This window comes from Homo sapiens, chromosome X, assembly GCF_000001405.40.
Source record: "Homo sapiens chromosome X, GRCh38.p14 Primary Assembly".
In the NCBI taxonomy this organism is placed as follows: Eukaryota; Metazoa; Chordata; class Mammalia; order Primates; family Hominidae; genus Homo; species Homo sapiens.
Window position 1 is genome coordinate 49221928 of NC_000023.11, and position 13542 is coordinate 49235469.

General features: G+C 53.1%; 1 protein-coding gene and 1 pseudogene across 4 annotated transcripts in view, besides 4 other annotated features; both read right to left on the reverse strand.

The window, feature by feature from the left end:
- Window positions 1-11413, reverse strand: part of CACNA1F (calcium voltage-gated channel subunit alpha1 F) — a 28278-nt gene extending 16865 nt beyond the window's left edge. For 2 of the 4 annotated variants that reach the window (XM_011543983.3, NM_001256790.3), the window contains exons 1-17: window positions 11318-11413; window positions 9751-9765; window positions 9275-9380; window positions 8923-9062; window positions 8540-8682; window positions 8293-8445; window positions 6324-6520; window positions 6109-6212; window positions 5010-5200; window positions 4683-4775; window positions 4482-4575; window positions 4290-4316; window positions 3982-4142; window positions 2834-3059; window positions 1002-1209; window positions 791-911; window positions 595-676 (exon numbers count right to left, since the gene is read on the reverse strand). In XM_011543983.3, coding sequence (XP_011542285.1) covers window positions 595-676; window positions 791-911; window positions 1002-1209; window positions 2834-3059; window positions 3982-4142; window positions 4290-4316; window positions 4482-4575; window positions 4683-4775; window positions 5010-5200; window positions 6109-6212; window positions 6324-6520; window positions 8293-8445; window positions 8540-8682; window positions 8923-9062; window positions 9275-9380; window positions 9751-9765; window positions 11318-11382 — 2126 coding nt within the window. In that variant the 5' untranslated portion in view covers window positions 11383-11413. Of the gene's footprint in view, window positions 1-594; window positions 677-790; window positions 912-1001; window positions 1210-2833; window positions 3060-3981; window positions 4143-4289; window positions 4317-4481; window positions 4576-4682; window positions 4776-5009; window positions 5201-6108; window positions 6213-6323; window positions 6521-8292; window positions 8446-8539; window positions 8683-8922; window positions 9063-9274; window positions 9381-9750; window positions 10001-11317 lie in introns of all 4 variants that reach the window. The other 2 variants (NM_001256789.3, NM_005183.4) reach the window with 2 other exon arrangements.
- Window positions 8578-8647: a silencer, noted in NCBI's record as "silent region_20844". NCBI's record gives its function as "represses an Ori minimal core promoter by ATAC-STARR-seq in GM12878 lymphoblastoid cells {active_cell/tissue: GM12878}" and the evidence as "EXISTENCE:reporter gene assay evidence [ECO:0000049][PMID:35858748]".
- Window positions 8578-9263: a biological region, named in NCBI's record as "H3K27ac-H3K4me1 hESC enhancer GRCh37_chrX:49086994-49087652".
- Window positions 8605-9263: an enhancer, noted in NCBI's record as "H3K27ac-H3K4me1 hESC enhancer chrX:49086994-49087652 (GRCh37/hg19 assembly coordinates)". NCBI's record gives its function as "activates a minimal SCP1, AML or CMV promoter by ChIP-STARR-seq in naive H9 embryonic stem cells {active_cell/tissue: H9 hESC(naive)}" and the evidence as "EXISTENCE:reporter gene assay evidence [ECO:0000049][PMID:30033119]".
- Window positions 8908-8957: an enhancer, noted in NCBI's record as "active region_29636". NCBI's record gives its function as "activates an Ori minimal core promoter by ATAC-STARR-seq in GM12878 lymphoblastoid cells {active_cell/tissue: GM12878}" and the evidence as "EXISTENCE:reporter gene assay evidence [ECO:0000049][PMID:35858748]".
- HSPB1P2 (heat shock protein family B (small) member 1 pseudogene 2) lies at window positions 11873-12613 on the reverse strand (annotated as a pseudogene).

A 13542-nucleotide genomic window follows, 5' to 3' on the forward strand; every position in this document is an offset into this window, starting at 1 on the left:
AGCTGAGATAGCACCACTGCACTCCAGCCTGGATGACAAGAGTGAAACTCCATATCAGAATAAAAAAAAAAAGTGCTAAGAACATTAGCGCCCCAGAAGCTTTGCACTTGCCACTCCCCTTCCTTGAATACTCTTCCCCCAGATATTTGCATGGCTCACTCCCTCACTTCATTCAGGTCTCTGGTGAAATGTCACTTCCTCACAGAGACCTTCCTTGCTGACCTTAACCCCAAAGAGCAATCTTCATTTCTTGCTATCCTTTCATTCTGTTTTCTCTTTATTACATATTATTAACATATATTATATATTCATTTGTTTTATTTTTCTTGCCTTCCTCAACTAGAATGTTAGTTCCATGAAGGCAAGGACTCTTGTCTGCCTTGACCCCTGTTGTCTCCTCAGCATCTAGAACAGGACCTGGCACACAGTAGGCAGTCAATAGATGCATGTTGAATGAATGAGGACTGGCAGATGGTATCTGGAGATGGGGATTACCAGGGTGACTAGAGGCATCTCTGGTGGTGGGGGTGTCTGAGGGGTTCCCAGTCAGGGATCCCAGAGAGAGACTGTGTTAGGGGTGGAGCCAGATCTCACCCGCCCTTGTCCTTGGCAGTGCCTGCATCTCCACTGGCCAGGTTGTCCACAGCAATGGCAAGAAACACGTTCAACAGGATGTCTGGGATGAGCTTAGGCTGCAAAGGATGGAGAAGCACCCTGCCTATAGACCACCCAGTTCCCCTTACCCACCCCGACTCCACCATCATCCAGCCCCACAAAGCTCCAAGGATACAGTTGCCACAGATGAAGAGAATGATGAAATAGATGCACACCAACATTCCTGGGAAGAAGGGGCCACCATATGCCATGATACCATCATACATGACCACGTTCCAGTCCTCACCTGTCAGGATCTGGGGGTGGGAAGTCACTGTGGAGCTCTTGGACCCCCTCCAACTCCAGGGTCTCCCCGACCCACCCATCCCATGGTCTCCAGATCCTACCTGAAAGACAGTGAGGAGGGCCTGGGGGAACGTGTCAAAGGTGCTTCGCTTGGTGTGGGTCTGGTCAAAGTTGAACTTGCCCCCAAACAGCTGCATGCCAAGCAGGGAGAAGATAATGATGAAGAGGAAGAGGAGAAGCAGCAAGGATGCGATGGATTTCATTGAATTGAGCAGGGATGCCACCAGATTGCTCAGAGAAGCCCAGTGTCTGCAGCAGAAATGGGAGGGGGCAGGGTCGATGCCATGTCCACTGGACATGGCTGGAGCATCAGGAGCCAGGGCAGGGCTCCAGCTTGAGATGCACCTCGGCAGGTTGGGCTCAAATAGGCTTTGGTGTCAGGGTTAGAAATGATTTTGGAGTTGGGGTGAGATGAGAGTAAGAAGTGGGGGAAGCTGGGCCCTGTGGTGGCTCACGCCTGTAATCCCAGCACTTTGGGAGGCCAAGGCGTGTGGGTCATGAGGTCAGGAGACTGAGACCATCCTGGCTAACACGGTGAAACCCCGTCTCTACTAAAAAAAAATTAGCCAGGCATGGTGGCAGGTGCCTGTAGTCCCAGCTACTCAGGAGGCTGAGGCAGAAGAATGGCGTGAACCCAGGAGGCGGAGCTTGCAGTGAGCCAGGATTGCACTGCACTCCAGCCTGGGCGATAGACAGAGACTCTGTCTCAAAAAAAAAAAAAAAAAAAAAAAAAGAAGAAGAAGTAAAGAGGTAGGGGAAAGTTGAGAGTTTGGGGTTAGGGTTGGTGGTAGGGGTATAATGGGAGACTGGGAGATGAGGTTAGGATGGAGTTTTTTTTTTTCTTATCTTTTTTTTTTTTTTTGAGATGAAGTCTCACTGTGTTGCCCAAGCTGGAGTGCAGTGGCACAATCTCGTCTCACTGCAACCTCCACCTTCCAGGTTCAAGCGATTCTCCTGCCTCAGCCTCCCGAGTAGCTGGGACTACAGTCACTTGCCACCACTCCCGGCTAATTTTTTTGTATTTTTAGTAGAGACGGGGTTTCACTACATTGGCCAGGCTGGTCTTGAACTCCTGACCTTGTGATCCACCCGCCTCAGCCTCCCAAAGTGCTGGGATTACAGGCGTGAGCCACCGCATCCAGCCTAGGATGGAGGTTTAATGGAAGTTGGTGAAGCTAGAATTGGGTTTCAGCTTGGGACTGGGCCTGGTGTTGGGGATGGGGTTGTGATGTATTTGGGGTTGGAGATGGAGTTAAGGGTAAGTTGTGGTTGAGGGCTGGGATAGAGGAGGGGATGGGATGAGACTGGGGCTGAGGCTGGAAATGGAGTTGCAGTTGAAGATAGGGTGATGGTTAAGGGTTAGGGACGTGGGAGTTCTCTTTGGGGATTGAGGATGGTATTATGGTTGGTGGTTAGTGACAGGGATGGGGCTGGGAGTTAGGGATGAGGTGGGAGATGGAGTTGGGCTTGGGAATGGGTGTTAGCGTTGTAAATGGGCTCATAGGTGACCTGTGGTTGGGGGTTGGGATCAGAGATGGTATTGTGGTTGGGGGTTGGGATGGGGTTTGGGCTGGGAATAGTATGGCATTGAAATCGGAGACAGGGTTGGGGAAAAACGTTAGAGCAGGAGTTGAGGTTGAGGAAGGCAATGGAAATGGAGTAGACATTCTCCCCAGTGGATGAAGACAGGAACTTGTGTCTGCTTTGATTCCTGGTGTTTCCCTAGGGCTTGGTAGGGTGCCTGGCACACAGCAGGCACTCAATGGATGTCTGCTCAATGAATGGTGAAGCAGATGAAGTTATCATTGGAGCTTGGGTGGGGGTGTTGAGGCTGTGTTTGAGGCCCTTGTCTTCCCCCTCCCCTAATACAAACCTGGTGACCTTAAAGATCCTGAGGAGGCGCACACATCGGAGCACTGAGATGCCCAAGGGCTGCATGGCACCCACCTCCACCAAGGTGGTCTCTAGGATGCCCCCACAGACCACAAAGCAGTCAAAGCGGTTGAAGAAGGAAGACACATAGGCAGAGGGGCCCAGACCGTACAATTTGAGAAGCATCTCCACCGTGAACAGACAGAGCAACACTTTGTTGGCATACTCTGTGGGGAGAGAGGCAGGGATGATCGGGCTGGCCAGTTTCTGTGGTGACATGTGGGGAGGTAACTAGGGACCATGGGGTGACCCACGGTAGCTGGTATCAGGCCAGGTGCTGGCTGAGGGAAGGCTTAGGGCTAGGGATTGGGGTGAGTTTGTAGGTCAGAGTAGGTGAAGTTTTGAGGGGCTTGGAGATGGGGATGAGGGGCAGAGTCGGGGTGGGGGCCAGAGTCAGTGTCTATGAGTCCAGAAGACCCAAATTCACAAGTAGAGTTAGAGTCTAGGGTTTCTTCGGGACTGGGGCTGGTTTGTGGGTTATGGGTTAGAAATGTGCTCGGTATTCAGGCTGGGGCTGAGATTATAATGAATAATAGTAAGAGCTGACACTTATAAAGTGTTAGCTATATGGTGGGCCATACAATGTCCTAAGCACTTTTCACTTTACATCATTTACTCCTCTTCGCTGCTTCATGAAGTGGATACTACTATCTATCATCTCCATTTTGTAGATGTGGAGAACTTTTCCAGACAGTGTGATGATAAGAGCCTGGATTCTGGAGCCAGGCTGCCTGGGTTCTAATTCTGGCTCTGCCACTCGCTAGCTGGGTCCCGAGATTAGTCGCTTAACCCCTCAGTGCCTTGATGCTCAGTGTTCTGTGCCTTAGTATTTAATTCGCATAAGGTTGTGGTGAAGAAATTGTCAGTACACATAAAGAAAGGTGCTGAGAAAGGAGCTTGAGGCACACAGCAAGTGCTACCTGTGTAAGCTACAAGGTGGGATGGGACAGGCTAAGGGCTCTGGATTTATTTGGGTAGGGGGGAAGGCAGTGTCTTGGGGGCTGAGGCGCCCTAGAGGTTTTGGATTTAAGCTTCTGGGGTAGAAGGAATAGGAGGCTGGGGGAGACGACTAGCAGGCTGGGGGTGTACCCTGGATCTGGGTGAGCCACACAGGCTGCCCGTGGTGCTCAGAGGCGATGGTCAACGTGTTGAGGAAGACGAGCAACAGCACAGCCCAGTAGCAGGCATTGGACTTCACTGCCCGACGGCAGCGTGCCCGAAGGACCCGGTTGGCTCGGCGGAGGCGGCGGCTGGGGGAAGGGGAGCCCACAGGCTGAGATCACCTACCTAAGCCTGCCCTGGGGGGCTCAGGTGGGGGATCCAAAGGTCATGAGGGCTTGGAGGTGGGGGGTTTCAAAGTTATGGAGTCAAGGATTTGCACAACTTTCCCAACTCACCAGACTCTGGTTTTCATGATCTTGTTTCTGAAAAAGAAGGGGGATGGGAGGTGTGTGTCGTAAAGGGCAGAAGGGGTGTCAGTGACTGGGGCCAGAGGTCAAGGACTGAGATCGAGGCTTGAGGCTAAAGAAAGGACTTGAGTCAGGGTTTGGACTGGCTTCTGGGCTGGGTCAGGGGCTGGGGGCCCTCACAGGCAGCGTGTACAGCTGGCCAGAGCCCCCTCCTCCTCATCCTCATCGCCTTGGGTCTCTGTCATGGAACCGGTGTCACTGGCTGGGAGGCTGGCTGTAGGCAAGGTGGGGATAGTGGTCAGGACCTGAAGACCCCGAGGTCCAATCTTTGGCTTTCACCTCTGCCTACCCACCCCCACCCCAGCCTGGCTGGACCCCCACCATGGCTGCTGGTGGAGTGTGTGGAGCGAGTAGAATGACTGAACCAGCGCAGACGTCCACGCCTCCTATTGGTCAGCTCGGCCAGCTGTGGCCCTGCAGGGAGAGAAAGGACAATTAGGGAGGACATACTGGGGGCAGGGTTAGGGCCATGTCTAGGGTAGGGGTGTCATTTGGAGTCTTTATAGCTGAGGCTGGTCTTGATTCTGCATTTTGAGCCATAACTTGGGGGCTGGGGCTAGAGTTGTTGCAGATCAGGCCTGGGTGGGTCTCAGGAGGGCAGACCACATCTAAGGCATGCAGGGAATGGGCCAGATTGGAGTTGCCTACGATGGCCCGCCCGGCCCTCTTCAGCCATAGAACCAAGGTTGTCATCGGCGGAGGGGTCCTCCATGTCCAGCTCTTCGGCTTGAGTGATCCAGTCCAGGTAGCCCCGCAGGTCTTCCTCCATCTGCTGCTTCTCCCGCTGCTTCTGGAAGTCCCCGCGAGCTTTCGCTTTCTCTCTCTCCTTGGAGAACTCCCTGAGGGAGGAGGATAGAGGGCTAGGGGGAGGAGCCAATCTGAACACCTTGCTTTCATCACTCCAGCCACACTAGCCTCCTAGCTACTCTTTGAATATGCCAAGCACATTCTAGCCTCAGGGCCTTTGCACTGACCATTCTCTTTGCTTGGAATGCTTTTCCCTCAGATAACCACATGGTGCACCCACCTCATCTCTTTTTTTTTCTTTTCCCCAGATACAGGGTCTCACTCTATCACTCAGGGTGGAGTGCAGTGGTGTGATCATAGCTCACCGCAGCCTCGACCTCCTGGGCTCAAGCGATCCTTCCACCTCAGCTTCCTGAGTAGCTAGGACTACAGGTGTGCGCCACCATGCCCAGCTATTTTTGTTCATTTTTTGTAAAGATGAAGTCTCACTATGTTGCCCAGGCTGGTCTCGAACTCCTGACCTCAAGCCATCCTCCTGCCTTGGCCTCCCATAGTGCTGGGATTACAGGCATGAGCCACTGCACCTGGCCTCTTTCACATTTTTACTCAAATAACACCTTGTCAAGACAGCCTTTCCTGACATCCCTATTTATAATCACAAGATCTCTCCATTCTTATCTTTTATCTTTCCTTTCTTTCCACAGTACATATTCCATATAAAACACTATATATATGTGTGTGCCAATATATAAATGCACACACTTATTTTATTGCATATGTTGCTACTTTCTGTCTCTCCCCATCAGAATGTAAAACCAGGAAGGCAGAGATTTTTGTCTTTTGTTCCACTCCTAAAATGGTGCCTCACATACAATAGATGCTCATGATTGAATGAAGGAGTATTTCAGATGGGTTTTGAAGGATGTCTAGGAGTTTGCCAGGCACAAAGAAGTGGGCAGTGGCTGAGGGGTGGGAAGCAGGGAGTGTCTAGGTCTCTCACCCACTCAGGACGCCAAGCACAAGGTTGAGGACGAAGAAGGACCCAAAGATGACAAGGCTCACAAAGTACACCCAGGGCAGTTCATACCCCATGGCATCTTGCATCTGGGGAGAGAAAAGGCATGCATCCCTCAGGGTAGGCAGACACTCCTGCGTGAGTGTCAGGGAGGAAAGGCAGGTGCAGCCTTTGAGCTCTGTGCCCACAGTCCACCTCACCCAGTAGAGCACATCGGTCCAGCCTTCCATGGTGACACACTGGAAGACTGTCAGCATGGCGAAGAAGAAGTTGTCAAAGTTGGTGATGCCTCCATTGGGCCCTGGCCAGCGCCCGCGGCACTCAGTCTGGTTCAGCGTGCACGCACGCCCTGATCCCGAAGACGCACAGGGCGATGGGTCCTCCTCCGCTTCCATGTCTGCAGGAAGACTGGAGCTTGGGGCTTCGAAGCAGGCCCACTCTCAGTCGCTGCCACCCTGAAGCCCCGCCCACTTAGGAAGCTCGACTTGGGTCCTAGATTTTTCTCTTTCTCTCTTTCTTTCTTTCTTTTTTTGAGACGGGGTCTCCCTCTGTCGCCCAGGCTGGAGTGCAGTGGCACGATCTCGGCTCACCACAACTTCCGCCTCCCGGGTTCAAGCAATTCTCCTGCCTCAGCCTCCTGAGTAGCTGGGATTACCGGCGTGTGCCACAACGCCCGGCTAATTTTTTTTGTATTTTTAGTAGAGACGGGGGTTTCACCATATTGGTCAGGTTGGTCTCGAACTCCTGACCTTGTGATCCGCCCGCCTCGGCCTCCCAAAGTGCTGGGATTACAGGCGTGAGCCACCGTGCCCGGCCAGTCCTAGATTTTTCTAAGGCAACACTTAGCTCCACTTCTAGGGCAGAACCCTGCGAGCTCCGTATTCTGAACCACTGGGAAGCTAGGGATCCCACCAACCGGGATTTAAATCCTGGCGTGGAGTCTTGTAAATAACAATGAGGCAAGAGCCTGGGGGCGGAGTCTTGTGAATTTGGACGCGTCTCTTGAAAATAGGGGAGGGGCAAGGCATGGGCGGGAGTCTGGGTAAATGGTCTGAGTGTATGAGAACAGTCGTGGAGAATAAAGCTTTTTTTTGGTTTGTTTTTGTTTTGTTTTTGAGACCGAGTCTCACTCTGTCGCCCAGGCTGGAGCGCAGTGAGTGGTGCGATCCGATCTCAGCTCACTGCAACCTCCATCTCCCAGGCTCAAGTGATTCTCATGCCGCAGCCTCCCGAGTAGCTGGGATTACAGACATGCACCACCACGCCCGGCTCAACTTTGTATTTTTAGTAGAGATGGGGTTTCACTATGTTGGCCAGGCTGGTCTCGAACTCCTGACCTCAAGTGATCCATCTGCCTCGGCCTCCCAAAGTGCTGGGATTACAGGCGTGAACCACGGCGCCCAGCCGAGGATAAAGTTTTTTAAAATTGTTTTTGTTATTATTTTTTGGAGACTGGATCTCACTATTTTGCACAGGCTGGTAGCAAACTCCTGGGCGTAAGTGATCCTCCCGCCTCGGCCTCCCAAATGCCGGGAATACAGGTGTAAGCCAAGGCGCAGAGTTTTTGTTTTGTTTTGTTTTGTTTTTGAGACGGAGTCTCGCTCTGTCGCCCAGGCTGGAGTGCAGTGGCGCATCTCGGCTCACTGCAAGCTCCGCCTCCTGGGTTCACGCCATTCTCCTGCCTCAGCCTCAGGTTCACGCCATTCTCCTGCCTCAGCCTCCCGAGTAGCTGGGACTACAGGCGCCCGCCACCATGCCCAGCTAATTTTTTGTATTTTTTTAGTAGAGGCAGGGTTTCACCGTGTTAGCCAGGATGGTCTCGATCTCCTGACCTCGTGATCCGCCCGCCTCGGCCTCCCAAAGTGCTGGGATTACAGGCGCAGAGTCTTGTCTTAAGTGCGGGGCACTTGCACTTAAGTCTTAAGTGCGGGGCAGGACCTTAGCCTGTGGGTACAGTCTCGTGATGGGGCGGAGCTATTAGCGAGGTGGGGTTGTAGTCTGATTTAGGGCAGAGTCTTGAATATATGGGTGGGACTTGGTTATCTGGGGATGGAACCTGAGCCTGGGGGCCGAATCTTGTGCATTTCAGTGGGTTTCCCTGAGTGCAGCATTGGATCTAGGAACCGAAGGAGGGGGCATGTTCTGCCTAGGAGGGGCGGGCAGACTAACCGGATCCCAGGAAGTAGCACGTCTTGTGCATTCGTCCAAGGAACAGCTCGAGCCCAATGATGGCATAAATGATGATGACGAAGAGCACGAGCAGTGCAATGTGCAGCAGCGGCACCAGAGCCTTCATGATGGAATTGAGCACTATGTGCAGGCCTGCGGGGAGGGAGGGGGAGGCAGAAATAAGGGCGGGGTCAGCTCAGCCCCACCCCCACCCTCCACCTCCGACCTCGGGGGATGTGCCACTCACTCGGGACCCCAGACACCAGCCTCAGTGGCCGCAGCACCCGAAACGCCCTCAATGCCTTCACATCGAAGCCTCCTGGCTTTCCCCCGGTGTGCGGGGCGTCGCCTGGCCGTCCGGGGCCCTGCTCCAGCAGAACGCTGAACAGCCTGATGGGGGAGCACCGGGCAGGGAGGCGGAGGTCAGGCCTTGGGATTCCCCCCTCCACCCTAACCTTCTCAGAAAAGCACAAGTCCCTGTAACTAGAAATAGAAATGGGTTTTAATAATATTCCTGATTCTGGCTGCCGAATGGGGGCGGTCTGAAAGAGTCGCTTTCCTGAGCCCAGAATTCAGCGGGCCTGACGGTAGGAAGGCGACTAGGGTGGGGTGCCTCCCGCAGACGCGCACCCGACCACGACGATGATGAAGTCGAGTAGGTTCCAGCCATTGCGGATGTAGGCGCTGGGGTGGAGCACCAGCCCGTAGGCCACGATCTTGAGCACCGTCTCCACAGTGAAAATCACCAGGAATACGTACTCCACCTGCTCCTGGGGGTGGGACCGGGGGGCGGGTCGGGAAGTCGAGGAGTTATTTGAAGGCGAGGTTTGACGGGGGCGTGGGGAGCATAGTCAGGACCGAGGGTGGGGCTGAGCCAGGCAGGGCCATCCGGGTCAGAGAGGGGGCGGGGTCTGGCTGGAAGGAGTGAGCTCTACTGGGGCTCTATTTGGCTGGGAACTGGCTGGGGCGGGGCGGGCCTTACCAGGTTGTGGTTGGCAGTGTTGGAGTCGTCCTCAGGGAAGGGGATGTAAACTCCCAGGGCCACGCAGTTGGCAAAGATGGTCAGCAGGATGAGGATGTCGAAGGGCCTCAGGTGGACACAGTCAAGGACCCTGGCAGAGTGGCATTGGAACCCCCCTACTCCCTTGGGAACCTCCCACCCAGTGCTGACCCTTGACGCCCAAGGTGACAGGTCCTGGCATTCTCGACCCCTGCCCTGACAAGGCCTTGACTTTGTCCCTCCTGGAAACCTTAACCATCCCCAACTCTTGCTGTGATTCAGTCCTTGACTCTTGAACCCTGGTGACCTTTGCCTTTCTGAACCTGCCCCCCAACCCAGTTCTTGACTCTTGACCTTGATGATCTCAGCCCTCCTCTGTTCCAGCCCTGACCCAATTCTTTACTCCTGGTACCCTGATGACCCTTACCCCTGGGCCCTGCCCCTGCCTTCCAGGATGCTTCCACTCCACGATGCTGATGCAGGACCGTCGCAGAGGATTGGCCAGGGTGAGGCAGAAGAGTGCCCGAGGTGACCGCTGGGCACTGGCCACTGCCACTGTCTTGTGCTTGCTGTGCTGGTTTCTTCGCTTAGGGGTCCCTAGGCCTGATGCCCCACTGCTTTCACCTTCCACAGCTGGGGGCCCGGGGCACAGCCCCCATTCGGGACCAGGGCCTGCCCCATTGGCTGGACTGGGCTCTGGGGTGGTGTCTATATGGAGAAACTGTGTCAGGGAGGGACAGGGTATTGGGGCAATTGTGGCTGCTTCCTACCTGATCCTGTCCCTCTGTTTGAAGGAAGGAGAGAAGAGCATGGAAAATTAGGGAGAACTGGGAGTAGCTGGGTTAAGGACTGGGAAGTAAGAGTGTTCGAATTAAGATTAGAGTGAGAGTTTATAGGGGAGTGAAGGTGAGATTACATTTCCAAGTGAAGTAGGGTTTGGTGTTTAAGTTGGGGGTAGAGTTTAAATTGCCATGGGGTGGGCGAATTTAAGGTTAAATTTGAGTGGTGGGTTTTGGGTTAGGGTGGGGATGGGTTTAGACATAGGTAGGAGTGGAGTTTTGTCTAAGGGTTAGGACTGGGTATTTTGAATTGGAATTAGAATTAGGATACAGGTTAGGGTCGAAGTTGAGTTTTGAGTGGGACTTGAATTTTGCATTGGGGTTTTCAGCTAAGGCCACTCCCAGTTCCCATGGTCTCGTTTCAGCCTCAGAGGGCGGTAGATTGGCCTGGTTAAGATTCCCAGCTTTGGATGAAACAAGCTGCCTGAGTTTAAATCCTGACTTTACCACTTGGTAGCTATGTGTTGCCTTGGGCAAATTATGTAATCTCTTTGAGCCTCAGTTTCCTTATCTGTATAATAAGGATGATAATAACAGTACCTAAAATATAGCGGTGTTATGAGGATTAAATGAGTTCAGAATCAAAAGAATGCCTGGCACATAGAGTTATTCCCATTTTGCAGATGAGAAAATTGAGAAGAAAAAGTTAAGTGACTTGCTGAAGTGGCTGAATGGGGAGTCACACTCAGTCTAACTCTAGAGCCCTCATGGCTTACTACCACCATCAAGTATGTCTTCTCTCTCTTTCTCTCTTTTGTTTTTGTTTTTTTTTTTAAAGGGTCTGTGCACTTTCTGGAAAGTCAGAGACTGCAATCACTAACAGTATTGACATCCCGGGGTTGAGGTTGAGGTTAGGTCACTTTAGGTCTGTATCTGGGGTGGGGTTTAGACTCTAACAGGGGTTTGCCTTCTGGCTGGTAGAGTTTGTGTTAGGTTTCAGGTGGGCGTTTGGATAGGGGTCAGAGCCAGGATTGAGGTTGGGTTTCCTTTGGGAACTAAGGCTGTGGATGAGGCTGAGAGGCCATGGGGGGTGGTGTCTGGGTCAGGCTGAGCGTTAGGGCTCTGGTGGCAGAGAGGCTGTTTGGGGCTGGCTGGGATGGGGAACAGGGTGATGTGGTTCTTGTCCCCTAGAGGCTCTCTGGGGGTGGGGTCTGGGTGGGCAATGGGTGGGTCAGAGGGGCTCTACCTTGCTCCAAGGGTCTGCAGGGATGGAAGGATTCTCTCACCTTTCCCGCCTTCAGATTCCGACATCTTTCTTTCGAGATTGAAGGGCCATCTGCACACAACCCCCCTCTCTTCCCCCAGCTTTGGAGGGATTAAGGCCGCAGGGCGGGGCAATAACAGTGTTGTATGGGAGGGTGGCGGTGGGGGTGCAAATGGGACGTTTGTGGGCCAGAGCCTGGCAACAGATGAAATATTTACCAAATATATACCTGCAGCAAACAGTCAAACTAAAATAAGAAAAACGATGTCATTTTCCAGTAGTATATGGAATTCGAAGTATGTAGGAAAAACCTAATATATGTGCAATATCTCTATGGAAAAAAGATCAAATATTATCAATTATTATTATTTTTAGAGACAGGGTCTTGCTCTGTCACCCAGGCTGGAGTGCAGTGGCGTGATCATAGCTCACAGTAGCGTTGAATTCCTGTGCTCAAGTGATCCTCTGACCTCAGCCTCTGTAGCTGGGACTGCAGGTGTGCACTACCATGCCCAACTATTTTTTTTTTAAATTTTGGGTTGCTTCGAACTTTATTTGAGAACAACAGAAGATAAACCTATCAAAAGAACACACAGGTGGGTGCGGGGGCACGGCTAGTGGCGGCGGCCGGGGTGGGCATCCGGGCTAAGGCTTTTACTTGGCTGCAGACTGGTCGGATTTCGCAGCTCCTAGGCCCCCAAGCTGGGCCCGTGACTCCAAGGTGATCTCGTTGGACTGCGTGGCTAGCTTGGGCATGGGGGCCTCCACGGTCAGTGTGCCCTCAGGGGACAGGGAGGAGGAGACCTTGGTGGGGTCCACACCGGGGGGCAGCGTGTATTTCCGGGTGAAGCATCGGGAGATGTAGCCATGCTCGTCCTGCCGCTCCTCGTGCTTGCTGGTGATCTCCACCATGCCATCCTTGGTCTTGACCGTCAGCTCGTCGGAGGCGAAGTAGTTGATGTCCAGGGATACGCGCCAGCGGTCCGCTGTGGGCCGATTCTCCGAGACCCCGCCGCTGAGCTGCCGGCTGAGCGCGTAGCTGTAGGCGGGCGCGGCCACCGCGGGGCTCTCGACCGCGGCGGGGGCAGGGGACGCACGTAGCGGGGCCAGCAGCTGGTGCCCAACCACTGCGACCAGCCCGAAGGCCTGGTCAAAGAGGCGACTGTGCGGGTACCAGTCGCGGAAGGGGTCCCAGCTGGGGTCCCGCAGGAGCGAGAAGGGGACGCGGCGCTCGGTCATGCTGGCTGGCTCTGCTGGGGACGTCTGCTTGGACAAGTGTCAATTTTTTTTTTTTTTTTAAGAGATGGTGTATTGCTGTATTGCCCATGCCGGTCTCAAACTCCTGACCTCAAGCGATCCTCCCGCCTTGGCCTCCAAAACTGCTGGGATTGCAGGTGCGCGTCGGCTGTTCAAGAAATGGTTACATAGATTTCTTTTGCTTTATTTATTTATTTAGAGACGGAGTCTCGCTCTGTTGCCCAGGCTGGAGTGTAATGGCGCAATCTCAGCTCACTGCCACCTTCGCTTCCCCAGTTCAAGTGATTCTCCTGCCTAAGCCTCCCGAGTAGCTGGGACTACAGGCATGTGCCACCATGCCTGGCTAATTTTTCTCATTTTAGTAGAGAGGGGGTTTCACCATGTTGGCCAGGCTGGTCTCGAACTCCTGACCTCAGGTGATCCACCCGACTCGGCCTCCCAAAGTGCTGGGATTACAGGCGTGAGCCACTGCACCCAGCCGGTTACATAGATATTTGCTGTGTAATTATTCTTTGGAGTGTACAAATGTGTATCATATTAAAGCATTTATTGAATGCATGGACACTAGTAACTATAACTTACATAGTGCTTTCTTATCTTATGTGTCAGGCACATAGTACAACGTGCTTTATATAAATTAATTCTGTTTTAATCCTAAAAAGCAGGTACTGTCAATAGTCCCATTTTACAGATGAGGAGACTAAGACACAGGGAAGTAGTCGCTTTGTGTTAAAATTCTGCCCTTAATGTGTACACTTTTATAGCCTAGAAGATGAATGCCGCCTTAAACGAATGAGTCAGGAAGCCCCTTTCTGTCCGGCCCCTCCACTCCCCACCACACGGGTTGTTCCTTTTTCCCTTGGAAGAGCCCACTGGACTGCAGGTGGAAGAACTACAGTTCCCAGCAGCTATTGCAAGCTCAACCTCCGTGCACACTCACCCCAGGCCTC